The following is an 11,233-nucleotide window of genomic DNA, read 5'->3' as shown; positions in this document are numbered from 1 at the left end:
GTATTTCTACAGGGATGGCTAAGGACTTGAGGCAAGCCTTGGTCACCACCTGCTTGGGTATCTGGGGAGGGAGGCTCAAGTTGTGAAGAAGCGTGGGGCCTCCAGCTCAGGCCCATACATGTAAGTTTAAATCTCCCAGCCTATTTCCCTGGCTTCAGGCTGCAAGAAAACAAGATGTGTGTGCGTTGGGCGGGGGTTGGGATGGTGGAGTCAGAGCTTGCCCCAGCCCAATCCTCCCCCTCAGGCAGTCACCACACTGACACAGATGCAAAAAACCATCCATTTATACAGTTTGTGGTTCAGAAGCAACAATATGCACAACGGTGGAACAGTCTGTGCTGTCCCCACCCCACCTGAACTCGCCAGTTCCTGTCTCCCAAGGGGCACAGAACACAGGCCCCCTGCCTGGCAGGACCCGACTTAGTTACAGGCCCCTGGGAGGGGCGAAGCCCTTAGGGGTCGAGGCCAGGAGGGAGGAGGACCAGCACCTGATGCCCCTGGGGGCCCGCTGGGTCATGGAACTGTGTGTGTGGAGGGTGGGGGGTCAGCCCACCACGGGCCATTTCTCCCCAAGGCTAAGGGCGGGGGAGCAAGTAAAGCTGAGGAGAGGGCTTCATGGGACAGGGTTCCCATCCCCTGCTGGGAGGGTGTTCCTGGATACCCCACAAGGCACTACAGATGCAGACTGTAGGCGAGCACCCCCATCTTTGGCCCCCGATTGCCTGGCTCTCCCCCTGCCCCAGCTCCCACTGTGGTTTGGCGGGGGAGAAGAGAAGGGGCTGGGCCCCCCACTCCCTCAGCAGACACCAGCCAGGAACCGACCCGGCGGGCCGAGGCTAGGAAGGACCCTCTCCCGCTGCTCTGGGCTCCTGGGGTCCTCTTGGCTCGGCCTCCCCCTCTTTTAGCGCTGGCTGTTGCGAATAAATAAATAAATACCTCCCTGCCCGCCCCCGCCCCTACAGCTGGCTCTCCTCCTCCTCCAGGGAGCGGTTGAGTCCGGGGATGAACTTGAGCAGCCGCCGGCGGAAGCTGCGGTACTTGGTTTTGCGCAGGCCGGGGCCGCATAGGGCCTGCTCGCGAGCCTCAGTCCAGAGCGCGCCCGGCGCGCCCCCGCCTCCGCCCCCGCCAGGGCCCGCGCACCGCACACTGGCGCTGCGGCTCAGCGCGGCCCGCGGCCCAGGGCCCGGCCCCACGGCAGGGGTCTCGGCGGGGCCCGGGCCGAAGGCGCGGGCCGGGGGCGGCGGGGGCGGCAGCGCCGGCGGCTCGGAGTCCCCGAAGAAGCACGTGTGGTAGACGGCGTCGTCGGCGTCGCCCCTGGCCCGTCGGGCGCCTCCGCGGGGACGCCCGGGCACGGCGAGCAGAGGCCCGAAGGGCAGCGAGCCCGGGAGCAGGCCCGCGCCGTAGAGGCAGGAGCGCACCGACTCCAGCGTGTCGTAGATGCTGGGGTCCTTCACCACCAGGCCTGCGCAGAGACGGGAGAGGTAGGGGGCGGGTCAGGCCTGGACCGTGGTGGCCTCTGCAAAGGGTCGGAGGGCATGGGCGGGGCGTCCCCGCTCCGTCCTGCTGACCATCTCTGTGGCCCTGGCCAGGCACAAACCTGAGACCCTACTTCCCTCACCCGCAAATCAGGAATTATCACTCAGATCCTTATGGGGGCCGCTTAGCACAAACGGGCCTCGGAAATAATTGACACAAACTCTTTGAGCCCTGGTGTTCCCCTCTGTAAAGTGAAGATGACACTATCTGTTACTTACCTGCAGAGGGCTAGTGTGAGAATAACCAGAAATGTGGCTGCGGCAGTACCCAAAGTAGTAGTAGCTCAACAAACCTTGCTTTACTGTGGAGGTTTACTAGTAAACCGTTCTTTACTAGAACCCGCCAGTTCTGAGGGGGAAGCGCAGATGGGGTGTCTGTAGCAGAACAAGTGGCCCCTCACACCCCGGGATCTACTCACCATGCACCAGCCGCTGCTCCTGCACCATTAGGGACCTGTACTCTCCCCACTTCTCATACAGGGTTTGCTGCAAGAGACAGTCCCCACCCCACTGTCACAAGCTAGCAGGAAACTAGCAGGACGTGGGTACAGACGAGGGATCAGGGAGTAGACAAAAGAAATCTTCAGTTACAGGAGATTCAGCTGTAAGTGACCCCCCACAGGGCAGAGGCTTGGGAAGAGGAGGGTGGAGGCTGGACGTTATCTAGGTTCCCCTACCTTCAGGTACTGCAGACGAGCCTCCAGTTCTGCCTTCCGAATTGATGTCCCATATAGAGTTTCCAGTCTGAGGTTGGAGAATCAAAGCCTGAGTGAGCCACAGGCTGAGGAAATACCAAGAGGCTGAGCTCAGGAATTCAGGCACCTCGGCTCCCAGACATACCTGAGAACATTGCCTGACGCCTTAATGATGTCCACAATCTCTCGATGCCGGATGCCTTCCACATTCAGGCCATTGACGCTGGCGATGGTGTCCCCTGCCAGGCAGACAAGGGGGTTAGATTTGCTCCATGGGGCATGCTAGAATACCAGCCTCCTACCTTAGCCAGAAAGGGGAGAAGGGTGGGTAGTAACTCCAGGGAATACTCCTGAACTCCCTCCTCCAACTCCTCATGGTTCTCTGTAGATCTCCTCTGACATCTCTCATACTCGATCCAAACACACAGAACCACAGCCATTCTTGTGGGCCTGTAGTGACTACCAGGTTGTCCACGCCCAGCACCCCAGCCAAAGGGTGGGGACCTCACACACCCAACACCCTCACTCTGCCCTCAAGAAGTTCTGTCCGGCCGGGCGCGGTGGCTCACGCCTGTAATCCCAGCACTTTGGGAGGCCGAGGCGGGCGGATCACGAGGTCAGGAGATCGAGACCATCCTGGCTAACACGGTGAAACCCCGTCTCTACTAAAAATACAAAAAATTAGCCGGGCGTGGTAGCAGGCGCCTGTAGTCCCAGCTACTCGGGAGGCTGAGGCAGGAGAATGGCGTGAACCCGGGAGGCGGAGCTTGCAGTGAGCCGAGATCGCGCCACTGCACTCCAGCCTGGGCGACAGAGCGAGACTCCGTCTCAAAAAAAAAAAAAAAAAAAAGAAGTTCTGTCCCAAAGCTAAGCCCACCCAGGACCCTGGGCTACCCTCAGATTTGGTTATTTCTGTCCAGTCCACGCTGGCCATAAGACCCAGTCAATTCAGGGAAGAGCAGGTGAGCAGCACCCAGCTGGGAACCGACCCTGGCCCCAGGCATGGCATGGCCTCATGGATCCACAGATAATCAGTCCAGCCTCTGGTGGTGGGAGAGAAGCACAGGGAATGACTGGCCCCCAGAGGGATAGTTCTGCTACCCTGCACCACTGGAGAGCTTCCTGACCTCAAGCACAGTGTGCCCCATGTCAGGGCCCCATTCCTATCTGTAAAAAGGGGTATGGATCCCTGCTGTGGATGCTTCAGGGATGATGGGGAGGGAGAGTGGATTTGAAACTACTTTGAGAAGTTGTAGTATACCACTTGGCTACTGCTACCATTTAAATATTGTTTGTCCCCAAAACTCATGTTGAGGCTTCATCCCCAACGTAACAGTGCTGAGAGATGGTAGGACCTTTAAGAGGCATTTGGGGCCGAGCGCCGTGGCTCACACCTGTAATCCCAGCACTTTGGGAGGCCGAGGCGGGTGGATCACCTGAGGTCAGGAGTTCGAGACCAGCCTGGCCAACAAGGCAAAACCCCATCTCTACTAAAAATACAAAAATGAGCTGGGCTTGGTGGCCAGTGCCTGTAATCCCAGCTACTCGGGAGGCTGAGGCAGGAGAATTGCTTGAATCTGGGAGGCAGAGGCTGCAGTGAGCTGAGATCATGCCATTGCACTCCAGCCTGGGCAACAAGAGCGAAACTCCATCTCAAAAAAAGTGGCATTTGGGCCATGAAGGATCTGCCCAGTGAAGGGATCCATGCTGTTTTTGGGGAGTGAGTTCTTGCTCTGGTAGGACTGGTTTAGTTACCTGGCGAGTGGGTTGCTATAAAGCAAGATCACCCATGTTTTGTCTCTTTTGCGTGTGCCTACTCACCACTCTTGCAGGCGTTCCTGCCATGAGATGCCATCCATCATGTCAGAACGCAGCATGAGGCCCTCACCTGATGCGGCCACCCAGTCTTGAACTTCCCAGCCTCCAGAACCATGAGCTAAATAAACCTCTTTTCTTTATAATTACCCAGTATCAGGTATTCTGTTATGGTAACAGAAAATGGACTAAGATAGCTAGCACGGGCTGCTGGTAAGTGGGAAGGAGGTAGGGGCTTAGGGGCAAAGATGGTGGAGGGGGGATTGATTCATACAGTTTCAGGCTGCCCTTCCTGGAACCTGGGGACTCTAGATCTGCTCAATCCAGGGATCTCCTGCTGAAGCATAATTTCCTTGTTAGAGGAAGTAACATATTGCTTTGGGAGGCAGAGGCAAGAGGAGGATCGCTTGAGCCCAGGAGTTCAAGGTTATAGTGAGTTATGATTACGCCACTGCACTCTAGCCTGGGTGACAGACTGAGGCCCTGTCTCTTAAAAAAAAAAAAAGTTTCTAATTTTTTAAAAGGGAGTAACATCGGTTCCTCAGCACTGGGCCCATTTTGGGGCAGGATTGGCCTGATCCCCAATATCAAACAGACTTAATGGAATGTTGCTTCTTCCCTGGCTCCTGCCCATGCTGACTGCCAGGGTTGCTGGGAGGAATCAGAGCAGCAGCAGCATCATCCACCATTAATTAGGCCCTGGCAGTGTGCCCAGGGAATCCCCTTGCCGCACTGTGATGTTTGGATGCATTATTACCCTCATTTTGTAGATGGGGCTGTGCAAGATCACACAGTACATGGCAAATTTGCCTAGATCCAAAGCCCAGATTCTATCCATTCTTCTTTCTGGCCTTCTCAAAGAAGGAAAAGGAAGAGGAATTGATTTCAGGAGAGATTGCTCACCCCCTTTGCTTGGGAGTAAGGTCATATCCCCTTCCCAGACCTGGGTGTCCTGGGCTCAGGCCCCACCTGGTGTGAGCCCAGCCAGCTGGGCAGGGCTAGACTCATGAACTCGGCAGACAAAGGTCACCATTTCCACACGCTGCTCCTCCCGGTGGTGAAGGCCATAAGTCTGTAATGGACAAGGGGACCCTCAGCCCAGGGTTGGGACAAGTCCGTTCATCCCTCAGGCTGGTCATCCAACCCCCCTGACCCCTGTGTGCAGCTTCTCCCACCTGGATCTCAAAGCCGAAGGTCTGGTTATCCTCCTTCTCCAACGTCAGCACTTTCCTGCAAGAGACACAGGGGTCAAGACAATTAGGATTAAAAGGTGTAGAAGTCCCATAGCTTGGGCCTCCCTGGATATTGGCAACTGGTCTAGAACATTCCAGCAGGACTCTGTCTCCAGTGACAGCTCAGTCTCATCACAGATTATTGGAATGTCTTTCCCATACCCAATTGAAATCAGCCTCATGGAGCCACAGAGAACCAATCCAGCCTCTAGTGGTGGGAGGGAAGCACAGAGAAGGGCCGGTCCCCTGAAGGATGAGCCGGCTGAGTTTTTTAGCCCCATCCCAGCTTTCCAGTGAGCCCTACAGTACCACTTACTGACTAGCTAAGGCCCGAAATTCAGCCACAGCCTGGAGCCTCCTCTGTTCCACAGCTTTGGAGAGAGGACTGGCCCCACCCCCAGAGGCCAGTCACGAGGCTCAGCAAGACCACAGCTGCTCCTCCCAGCTATGCTGGGGCCAGCCCACCAGATGTGGGGGCTGGGGGAGGGGAGCCTCGAGGCCGCCCCTTCCCGCACTGAAGGCCTGCCCGCTGGACACAATGGTCTGGAGCTGCTCCAGATCCTCGCCTGCTGGGGGAGCCCAGAGTTTCCTCTGCCCACTCCCACCCCCTTCCTTCCCGCCCAGCCAGAGGCACAGTTAAAGCAGCCTCCAAAGGCCCCTTCAAGTAGCTCAGCCTCGGAAAGGCCCTGGAGACCAGGCTTCTCCGCTTCCAGCCTGACCCAGAGATTCCCCCAAATGCTGAGCAGCACCTCCCCACTCCAGCTCGAGCCCCTCTCACTCTGAACAGCAGGCCTTTCCCCTCTCTGTACTATTGGGGCAGGGAGCAGGGTGGCTGGGAGTTCCGCGTCTACCCCAATGTTCTAGGGTTTTTTGGAAGGGTCAGCAAACTTTTTCTGCAAAGGGCCAAATGGTAAATACTTTAGGCTTTCTTTGCAGGCCCCTTATGATCTCTGTCATATATTGTTATTTGTTTTTATTTTTACAACTCTTTAAAAATTATTAGCTCAAGGGCCAAACAGGCCAATCTGGCTAGCAGGTCAGTTTGCTGATCCATTTTAGAGAAAGTCAAGCCCAAATCAGGGATGGGACATGAGTAGAGAAGGGAAACTGTGGGGTCCCAGGGCCTGGAGTCAGCACCTACTTCTGCCCACGCTCAGATCCCTCCTAAGAGGGCTGCCACAGGCTGGGACCAGAAGAGGACTGACATTCTGGAGGCAGGGGCAGCCAGCCCCAAGCAGCTGGACACAGCCTGGCTAAGGTCTGGGCCCGTGGGGTTTGCCAAGGCTAGGAGGGCTCAGGGGAGCCCAGGAGGCCTGGGTTAGGACGTTCCCCATAGACTTTGCCTACACCCCCTCCCAACTCCCACATCCGTTCATCCAGATCTCCCCAGGGAGGGGTAACTGGCAGGGACTGGGGGTGTGTTGAAGAGCACCTAATGACTCAAAAGTCCCTACCTCCTTTCTCTGCCACCCCCTTCACACAGCCCTCACCCCCACCTGCCCTCACTCCCAGCGGGGGAGCCATGTTTAAAGGCTAGGAGAATGACTACCCTCGCTAGGCTGAGATGCTGTCCTGGCACCCCCCAACCCAGCACCTCACCCCTTTGGACCATGGCAGGGGCTGGGTGTTGGTGACTCACCGCTGCTGTTCAGGACTCTGGCTGAGATTCTTCCAGCGGAATCCTGAGCCCTGGGCAGTAAGATGGTCAGAAGGAGCAGGTAAGGCGGGACTGTCCTTGAGCAGACACTGAGAGGTTACCCTGGACACAGCGACCCACTTCCTGTCTGCCCCTTCCCAGCTCCACATCCACACCTGTTTTGGTGCTGGTGGAACTATTTGCCAAGTGCCACTACTGGCACCACTCCTCAACTTTCTCTACAGGCCTTACCTTCATACCTGGGACTGCAGGGACACAACCATCCTCCTGGGTTCCAGATCCATGAACCTCTAAGCCCTTGCTGGTTTCCACACTGGCAGCAGGTGGGGAGATCATTATTCTAAAATGGTCTCCACCCCTAGGGCCCATGTCTGTAGAGGCTCAGGCCATCCAGACTCCCAAAGCTGAGGCAGGGGCTCTTCCCCAGTGGGATTCAGAGGATAGGTGTCCCCTGGGCTCACCTATCAAGGTGCTCCGAGGACCTTCTGCCAGTTGGGTCTCTCCATCTAATTTCTCAGCTACAGACAGTGGCTTGGGAGGGCTGGGGTCAGGGACCCTGTCCCGAAGGGCTGGCAATCCCAGCCAGAATGTGGGGTCAGAGGTGCCAGGTCTCCTAAGGTACAGGCCGTTTCAAGGACCAGTTGTGGATCCCAGCTGCAGGTGACCAGCTGTGCCCAGCTATACCTGGGTCTCTCTCTCCATTGCCATATATTTTGTGCTTTCTGGGACAAAACATCTTAGATGTCAAACTTGTCAGCAAGTCTCACTAAAGGACCGAGACTGGGAGTTCTTTAGGGGTGGTGGTGGGGGGTGTGGAGGAAGGATGAGAGATGAAGGTTCCTGTCTCTTCAGGGTCCTTGATAAACTAAAGTAGTCTCTCACCCTCCCTAACTTTTTGGTCCTGGGAGGAGGTCCAGTCCCAGAGCAGCCCTTTTCTTTGGAGCCTGCACAGCCCAGGGCCTTTCTGTTCTGTGCCTTTGCTAACCCTCCCCCAAAGCTGCCCAAGGCAAGGAAGAGAAGGTTCAGAACCAGATTGGCCTCAGGGGTGGGGACAGTTCCCAAACGGCCAGGGAGGAAGGACTGGGCAGCACAGAGAGACCCCTTTGTCTTTCAACATGATTTTCATAAAATGCAAATTCTCAACAAGCTGTTCATTGTGTGGGGGCTAGCTGGGGGCCGGGGCGAAGGAGGGCGGCTGGGTGAGGAAAGGCCACCAGGCCCCTCTTCTTAACCTGGTGTTGTGTAGGTTCTGAGCCTCAGGTCTCCTGGGGCCAGAGGAAGAGGCTGGCAGAGGGGACTCAGAGGTGGGCGCGGCCCGCATCCTTCCTGCCCCGCGGGCGCCCTGCGACCCCTCCCACTGCGTCCGGTTCCGACAGAAGTCCAGGGAGCAGTGGCCCTCGCGCCCCGTACGTCAGACGTGGGGCCAGGCGGCAGGCCCCCAGCCCAGGAATCGGGGAGTCCCCTCGGAAGGGTGTGCTATCCGGAGTCAGCGGCTCCCCACGCACTTCCTCAGAGTGAGAACGCACGCGGCGCAGCCACCGGCCCGCTTCTCCCACCGGGGGCTCTCGGACCTTCAACTTGCCTGGGGCTGTCTCTGTCCCTCGGGCGAGGGGCTCCTGGGGACCCAGGACACCTGGCCACGGGGAGGCGGGGCATGGGGGGCAGAAAGCCAGATGGAGCGGGTAGGAGAAGGGGGGTGCTGGGAGGAGTCAAGGAGGGAGAGAGGGGGCGTGCATGGGGCGCGGAGTTAAGAGCCACCGAGCCTGGGCGCGGTGTGCAGGCGAGGGCCACGGCCTTCGCAGCAGCGGGGAACGCGGGGAGTCGAGGCACCCAGCGGGCCGGGGAAGAAGGTGGGGGACTCCGCGGACGCCGAGGAGAGGGCACTGCGGAGTCAGCAGGCCCTGTAGGGAGTCGGAGAGGGGCTGAGCAGATCCTGAAGGCGGGCGGGGGACGCACCTTTCGGCGGGGCAGGGTGCCCCCGGACACGGCGAGCGCGCGGTACAGCTCGGCAGGGTGATAGTCCTCCAGCGCCGCGTACAGCTCGTCCGCTGGGGGCCCAGGGGTGGCGGCTGCGGCAGGGGGTCCCGGGGTCGGGACCGGAGCGGCGGGCGCGACTTCCGAGTCGGGAGTCCGGGCGGCGGGGTCCGGGGTGGCCGCCGCCTCCTCCTTCTGCTGCAGCTTCCTGAGTCGGCGGAGGGTCATGGCTCCGGCGCCGGACGCCCCTCAGAGACGGCGCTGGCTCCCCTCGGCGGGGCTGGCGGCGGCTGGGGGATGCCAGCCGGGCGGGCCGCGGGTCGCCTCCCTTTATAGGCTCCGAGAGCGGGGCGGGGTTGGGGGCGGGCGGGGAGCTGCCTCGGGTGGCCTCGCCCCCAGCACGGAGGACCCTCCCCGCGAGGCGCCGCCGCCCTGGAGCCCCGCCCACGGCGCTCGACGGCCGGGGAAACTGCGGGAGCTGGGCGCTCAGTGGGGGAAAACGAGCCGCGGACGCGAAGGGGCGGGATGAGGCCCCCGGGGCGGGGCTCGGGGCTCGGGGCTGCGTGATACCTGGAGGGGTCTGTGAAGGGACATTGCGCAAGGTTTGAAATTTAGGGACGAATAGCTCTGGCGATTCATGGAGTGGGGCACGGTAAGAGGTCACTGTAAGAAGCCTGGGGAGTCGGGGAGGTAGGGAGAGTCACGGAGATCCAAGGGGCTGCAGGAGACTCCAGGGCAGGGAGAGCGGCAGCGGGGCTGCGCAGGAGTAGGGGTGGAGGCCCGATGGAGGAGGGAGGAGACTCCCTGAACTCACTGCGCAGAAGCCCCCAGGGAGGGAGAGGGCCCAGGATTTTCCCTTGACGCAGCTGCCCCAGAAGAGCTGAAAGAGGCTGCCCCCTGTTCGCACGTCTAGGAAGAAGGGAAGAGGTGGAAACCCTGAAAGCAGTAGGCTTAGTTCTGGCCTGTCCCCTCCAAGGGGCTTGAGTGATCCCTGCTGGCAACACCTTTCCTCAGCTCCTGATGCCGGGGTCAGATCCCCCTTCCCAGGAGACAGACGCTTACTGTGGACTTGACTCAGGAGGTTGGGATGAGCCCAGGCTGAGTGGGAGTTCAGGGCTGGGGGGATGGCCATGCTCAGCCGTTCTCTGACCCCATCTTAGGGACCATCCCCCAGGCTGTTACCATGGCTGCCAGGCGGTAGGAGAGGCGGGAATGGCCCAGCCGAAGTCTCTGTCGTCAGTGGTGCCCGAATAAGAAGTGAGAGGAGGAAGTGGAAGGCAGCGTCTGGTGTCTAAAGAGCGGCTAGCCACCACAGGGCGTCAGCAGCACAGGCTGGGGACTCCATGTCCCAACACCCATCGGCCAAGAAGCAGAGGCGGCAATGCGGTGCCCTTGTCTGTCCCCTCCCTCCTCCCCCAGTCTTCCCAAATCTGTTATGCCTTCACAGTTAACATTTATTGAGCACTTAGCATGTGCTATGCACACTGTTTGTTCTGTGTGTCCTTTTACATACATGCATTAACTCACTTGGTCTTCATAACAACCCTACGAAATAAGCACCATTATCCTCCCTTACAGATGAGGAAACTGAGGCCCAGAGAAGATAAGTAATTTGCCCTAAGTCACTCAGCGGCAGAGCTGAGATTCAAAGCCAGGCAGCCTGGTTCCAGAGCCTGCAATCTAACCACTCTGTGATGTTGTCCAACATTTAAGCCCTGCTGTGTGCCAGGTACTGGCTGGGCACTGGGGTTACAGAGGCTCTTGGCCTGGTAGGGAGTGGTACCTTGCACATGTGCTGTGTTAGACACGTGGCATAAGGAGCACAGAGGGGCAATGGCCACGTCCACCTGCGAGGCCAGGAAAGACTTTCTGCCTCCTGCCTGTCTCAGTTCTTGCGCCTGGCTCAGTCTTCTTCTCTAGTCTCCTTGACTCTGTGTTCTCCTCCCCACCCCCAGTCCTCTAGGCCCCCATCCCCTACAAGAGGTGTGGGTGGAAGAGGGTGCTTTTCCGCCCCTCAGTGATTGCACAAGTCCAGATGGCAGGATGCTTGTTGGGTGGGGGGCCGGGGTGGATTGAGGACTGCCAGGAGCTAAGAGGTAGCTCTCTTAGTGCCTTCTTCTCCCTCCTCCCACCTCCCGCCTTGGCACCACCAAGTGGCCATCAGCTGAGGGGCCGAGGGGGTGTCAGTGGGGAAACATGGGACTCTATTGTGAAGCATTAGCACAGATGGACCCCAGGACCGTCTGTTGCCTGCTCCTGACAGACAGCATCTGTGGGGGGTGGGAGGGGGAGACGCAAAGCGGAGAGGCAATGATGTATATTCCA

The 11,233-nt window shown here is 58.9% G+C and overlaps 1 protein-coding gene and 1 long non-coding RNA gene across 5 annotated transcripts, besides 8 other annotated features; one reads left to right on the top strand and one right to left on the bottom strand.

The window, feature by feature from the left end:
• On the bottom strand, positions 267-9,210 carry TAMALIN (trafficking regulator and scaffold protein tamalin). Of its 4 annotated transcripts, none has more exons than NM_181711.4 (8): positions 8,891-9,210; positions 6,917-6,966; positions 5,221-5,275; positions 5,015-5,117; positions 2,376-2,469; positions 2,213-2,279; positions 1,955-2,021; positions 267-1,462 (listed from the first exon to the last, which is right to left on the bottom strand). In NM_181711.4, the coding sequence occupies exons 1-8, from the start codon at positions 9,134-9,136 to the stop codon at positions 957-959; spliced, it is 1,188 nt and encodes a 395-aa protein (NP_859062.1). In that variant the 5' UTR covers positions 9,137-9,210; the 3' UTR covers positions 267-956. The 4 variants fall into 4 exon arrangements, with proteins under 4 accessions (NP_859062.1, XP_005268748.1, XP_047284395.1 ...); XM_005268691.4 differs by lacking the exon at positions 8,891-9,210 and adding an exon at positions 7,396-8,334; XM_047428439.1 differs by lacking the exon at positions 6,917-6,966.
• Positions 4,557-5,209: an enhancer, noted in NCBI's record as "H3K4me1 hESC enhancer chr12:52404731-52405383 (GRCh37/hg19 assembly coordinates)". NCBI's record gives its function as "activates a minimal SCP1, AML or CMV promoter by ChIP-STARR-seq in primed H9 embryonic stem cells {active_cell/tissue: H9 hESC(primed)}" and the evidence as "EXISTENCE:reporter gene assay evidence [ECO:0000049][PMID:30033119]".
• Positions 5,210-5,863: an enhancer, noted in NCBI's record as "H3K4me1 hESC enhancer chr12:52404077-52404730 (GRCh37/hg19 assembly coordinates)". NCBI's record gives its function as "activates a minimal SCP1, AML or CMV promoter by ChIP-STARR-seq in naive H9 embryonic stem cells {active_cell/tissue: H9 hESC(naive)}" and the evidence as "EXISTENCE:reporter gene assay evidence [ECO:0000049][PMID:30033119]".
• Positions 5,864-6,517: an enhancer, noted in NCBI's record as "H3K4me1 hESC enhancer chr12:52403423-52404076 (GRCh37/hg19 assembly coordinates)". NCBI's record gives its function as "activates a minimal SCP1, AML or CMV promoter by ChIP-STARR-seq in primed H9 embryonic stem cells {active_cell/tissue: H9 hESC(primed)}" and the evidence as "EXISTENCE:reporter gene assay evidence [ECO:0000049][PMID:30033119]".
• Positions 6,518-7,171: an enhancer, noted in NCBI's record as "H3K4me1 hESC enhancer chr12:52402769-52403422 (GRCh37/hg19 assembly coordinates)". NCBI's record gives its function as "activates a minimal SCP1, AML or CMV promoter by ChIP-STARR-seq in primed H9 embryonic stem cells {active_cell/tissue: H9 hESC(primed)}" and the evidence as "EXISTENCE:reporter gene assay evidence [ECO:0000049][PMID:30033119]".
• Positions 7,782-8,467: an enhancer, noted in NCBI's record as "H3K4me1 hESC enhancer chr12:52401473-52402158 (GRCh37/hg19 assembly coordinates)". NCBI's record gives its function as "activates a minimal SCP1, AML or CMV promoter by ChIP-STARR-seq in naive H9 embryonic stem cells {active_cell/tissue: H9 hESC(naive)}" and the evidence as "EXISTENCE:reporter gene assay evidence [ECO:0000049][PMID:30033119]".
• Positions 8,501-9,906, top strand: TAMALIN-AS1 (TAMALIN antisense RNA 1). The gene has a single exon (NR_146770.1). It is a non-coding gene; the product is annotated as a TAMALIN antisense RNA 1 (long non-coding RNA).
• Positions 9,240-9,389: a silencer, noted in NCBI's record as "silent region_4478". NCBI's record gives its function as "represses an Ori minimal core promoter by ATAC-STARR-seq in GM12878 lymphoblastoid cells {active_cell/tissue: GM12878}" and the evidence as "EXISTENCE:reporter gene assay evidence [ECO:0000049][PMID:35858748]".
• Positions 9,840-10,526: an enhancer, noted in NCBI's record as "H3K4me1 hESC enhancer chr12:52399414-52400100 (GRCh37/hg19 assembly coordinates)". NCBI's record gives its function as "activates a minimal SCP1, AML or CMV promoter by ChIP-STARR-seq in primed H9 embryonic stem cells {active_cell/tissue: H9 hESC(primed)}" and the evidence as "EXISTENCE:reporter gene assay evidence [ECO:0000049][PMID:30033119]".
• Positions 10,095-10,154: an enhancer, noted in NCBI's record as "active region_6388". NCBI's record gives its function as "activates an Ori minimal core promoter by ATAC-STARR-seq in GM12878 lymphoblastoid cells {active_cell/tissue: GM12878}" and the evidence as "EXISTENCE:reporter gene assay evidence [ECO:0000049][PMID:35858748]".

This window comes from Homo sapiens, chromosome 12 (assembly GCF_000001405.40).
Source record: "Homo sapiens chromosome 12, GRCh38.p14 Primary Assembly".
Classification (NCBI taxonomy): domain Eukaryota; kingdom Metazoa; phylum Chordata; class Mammalia; order Primates; family Hominidae; genus Homo; species Homo sapiens.
Note: the sequence above shows the minus strand (reverse complement) of the source record. Positions and strands in the feature narration are given on the sequence as shown.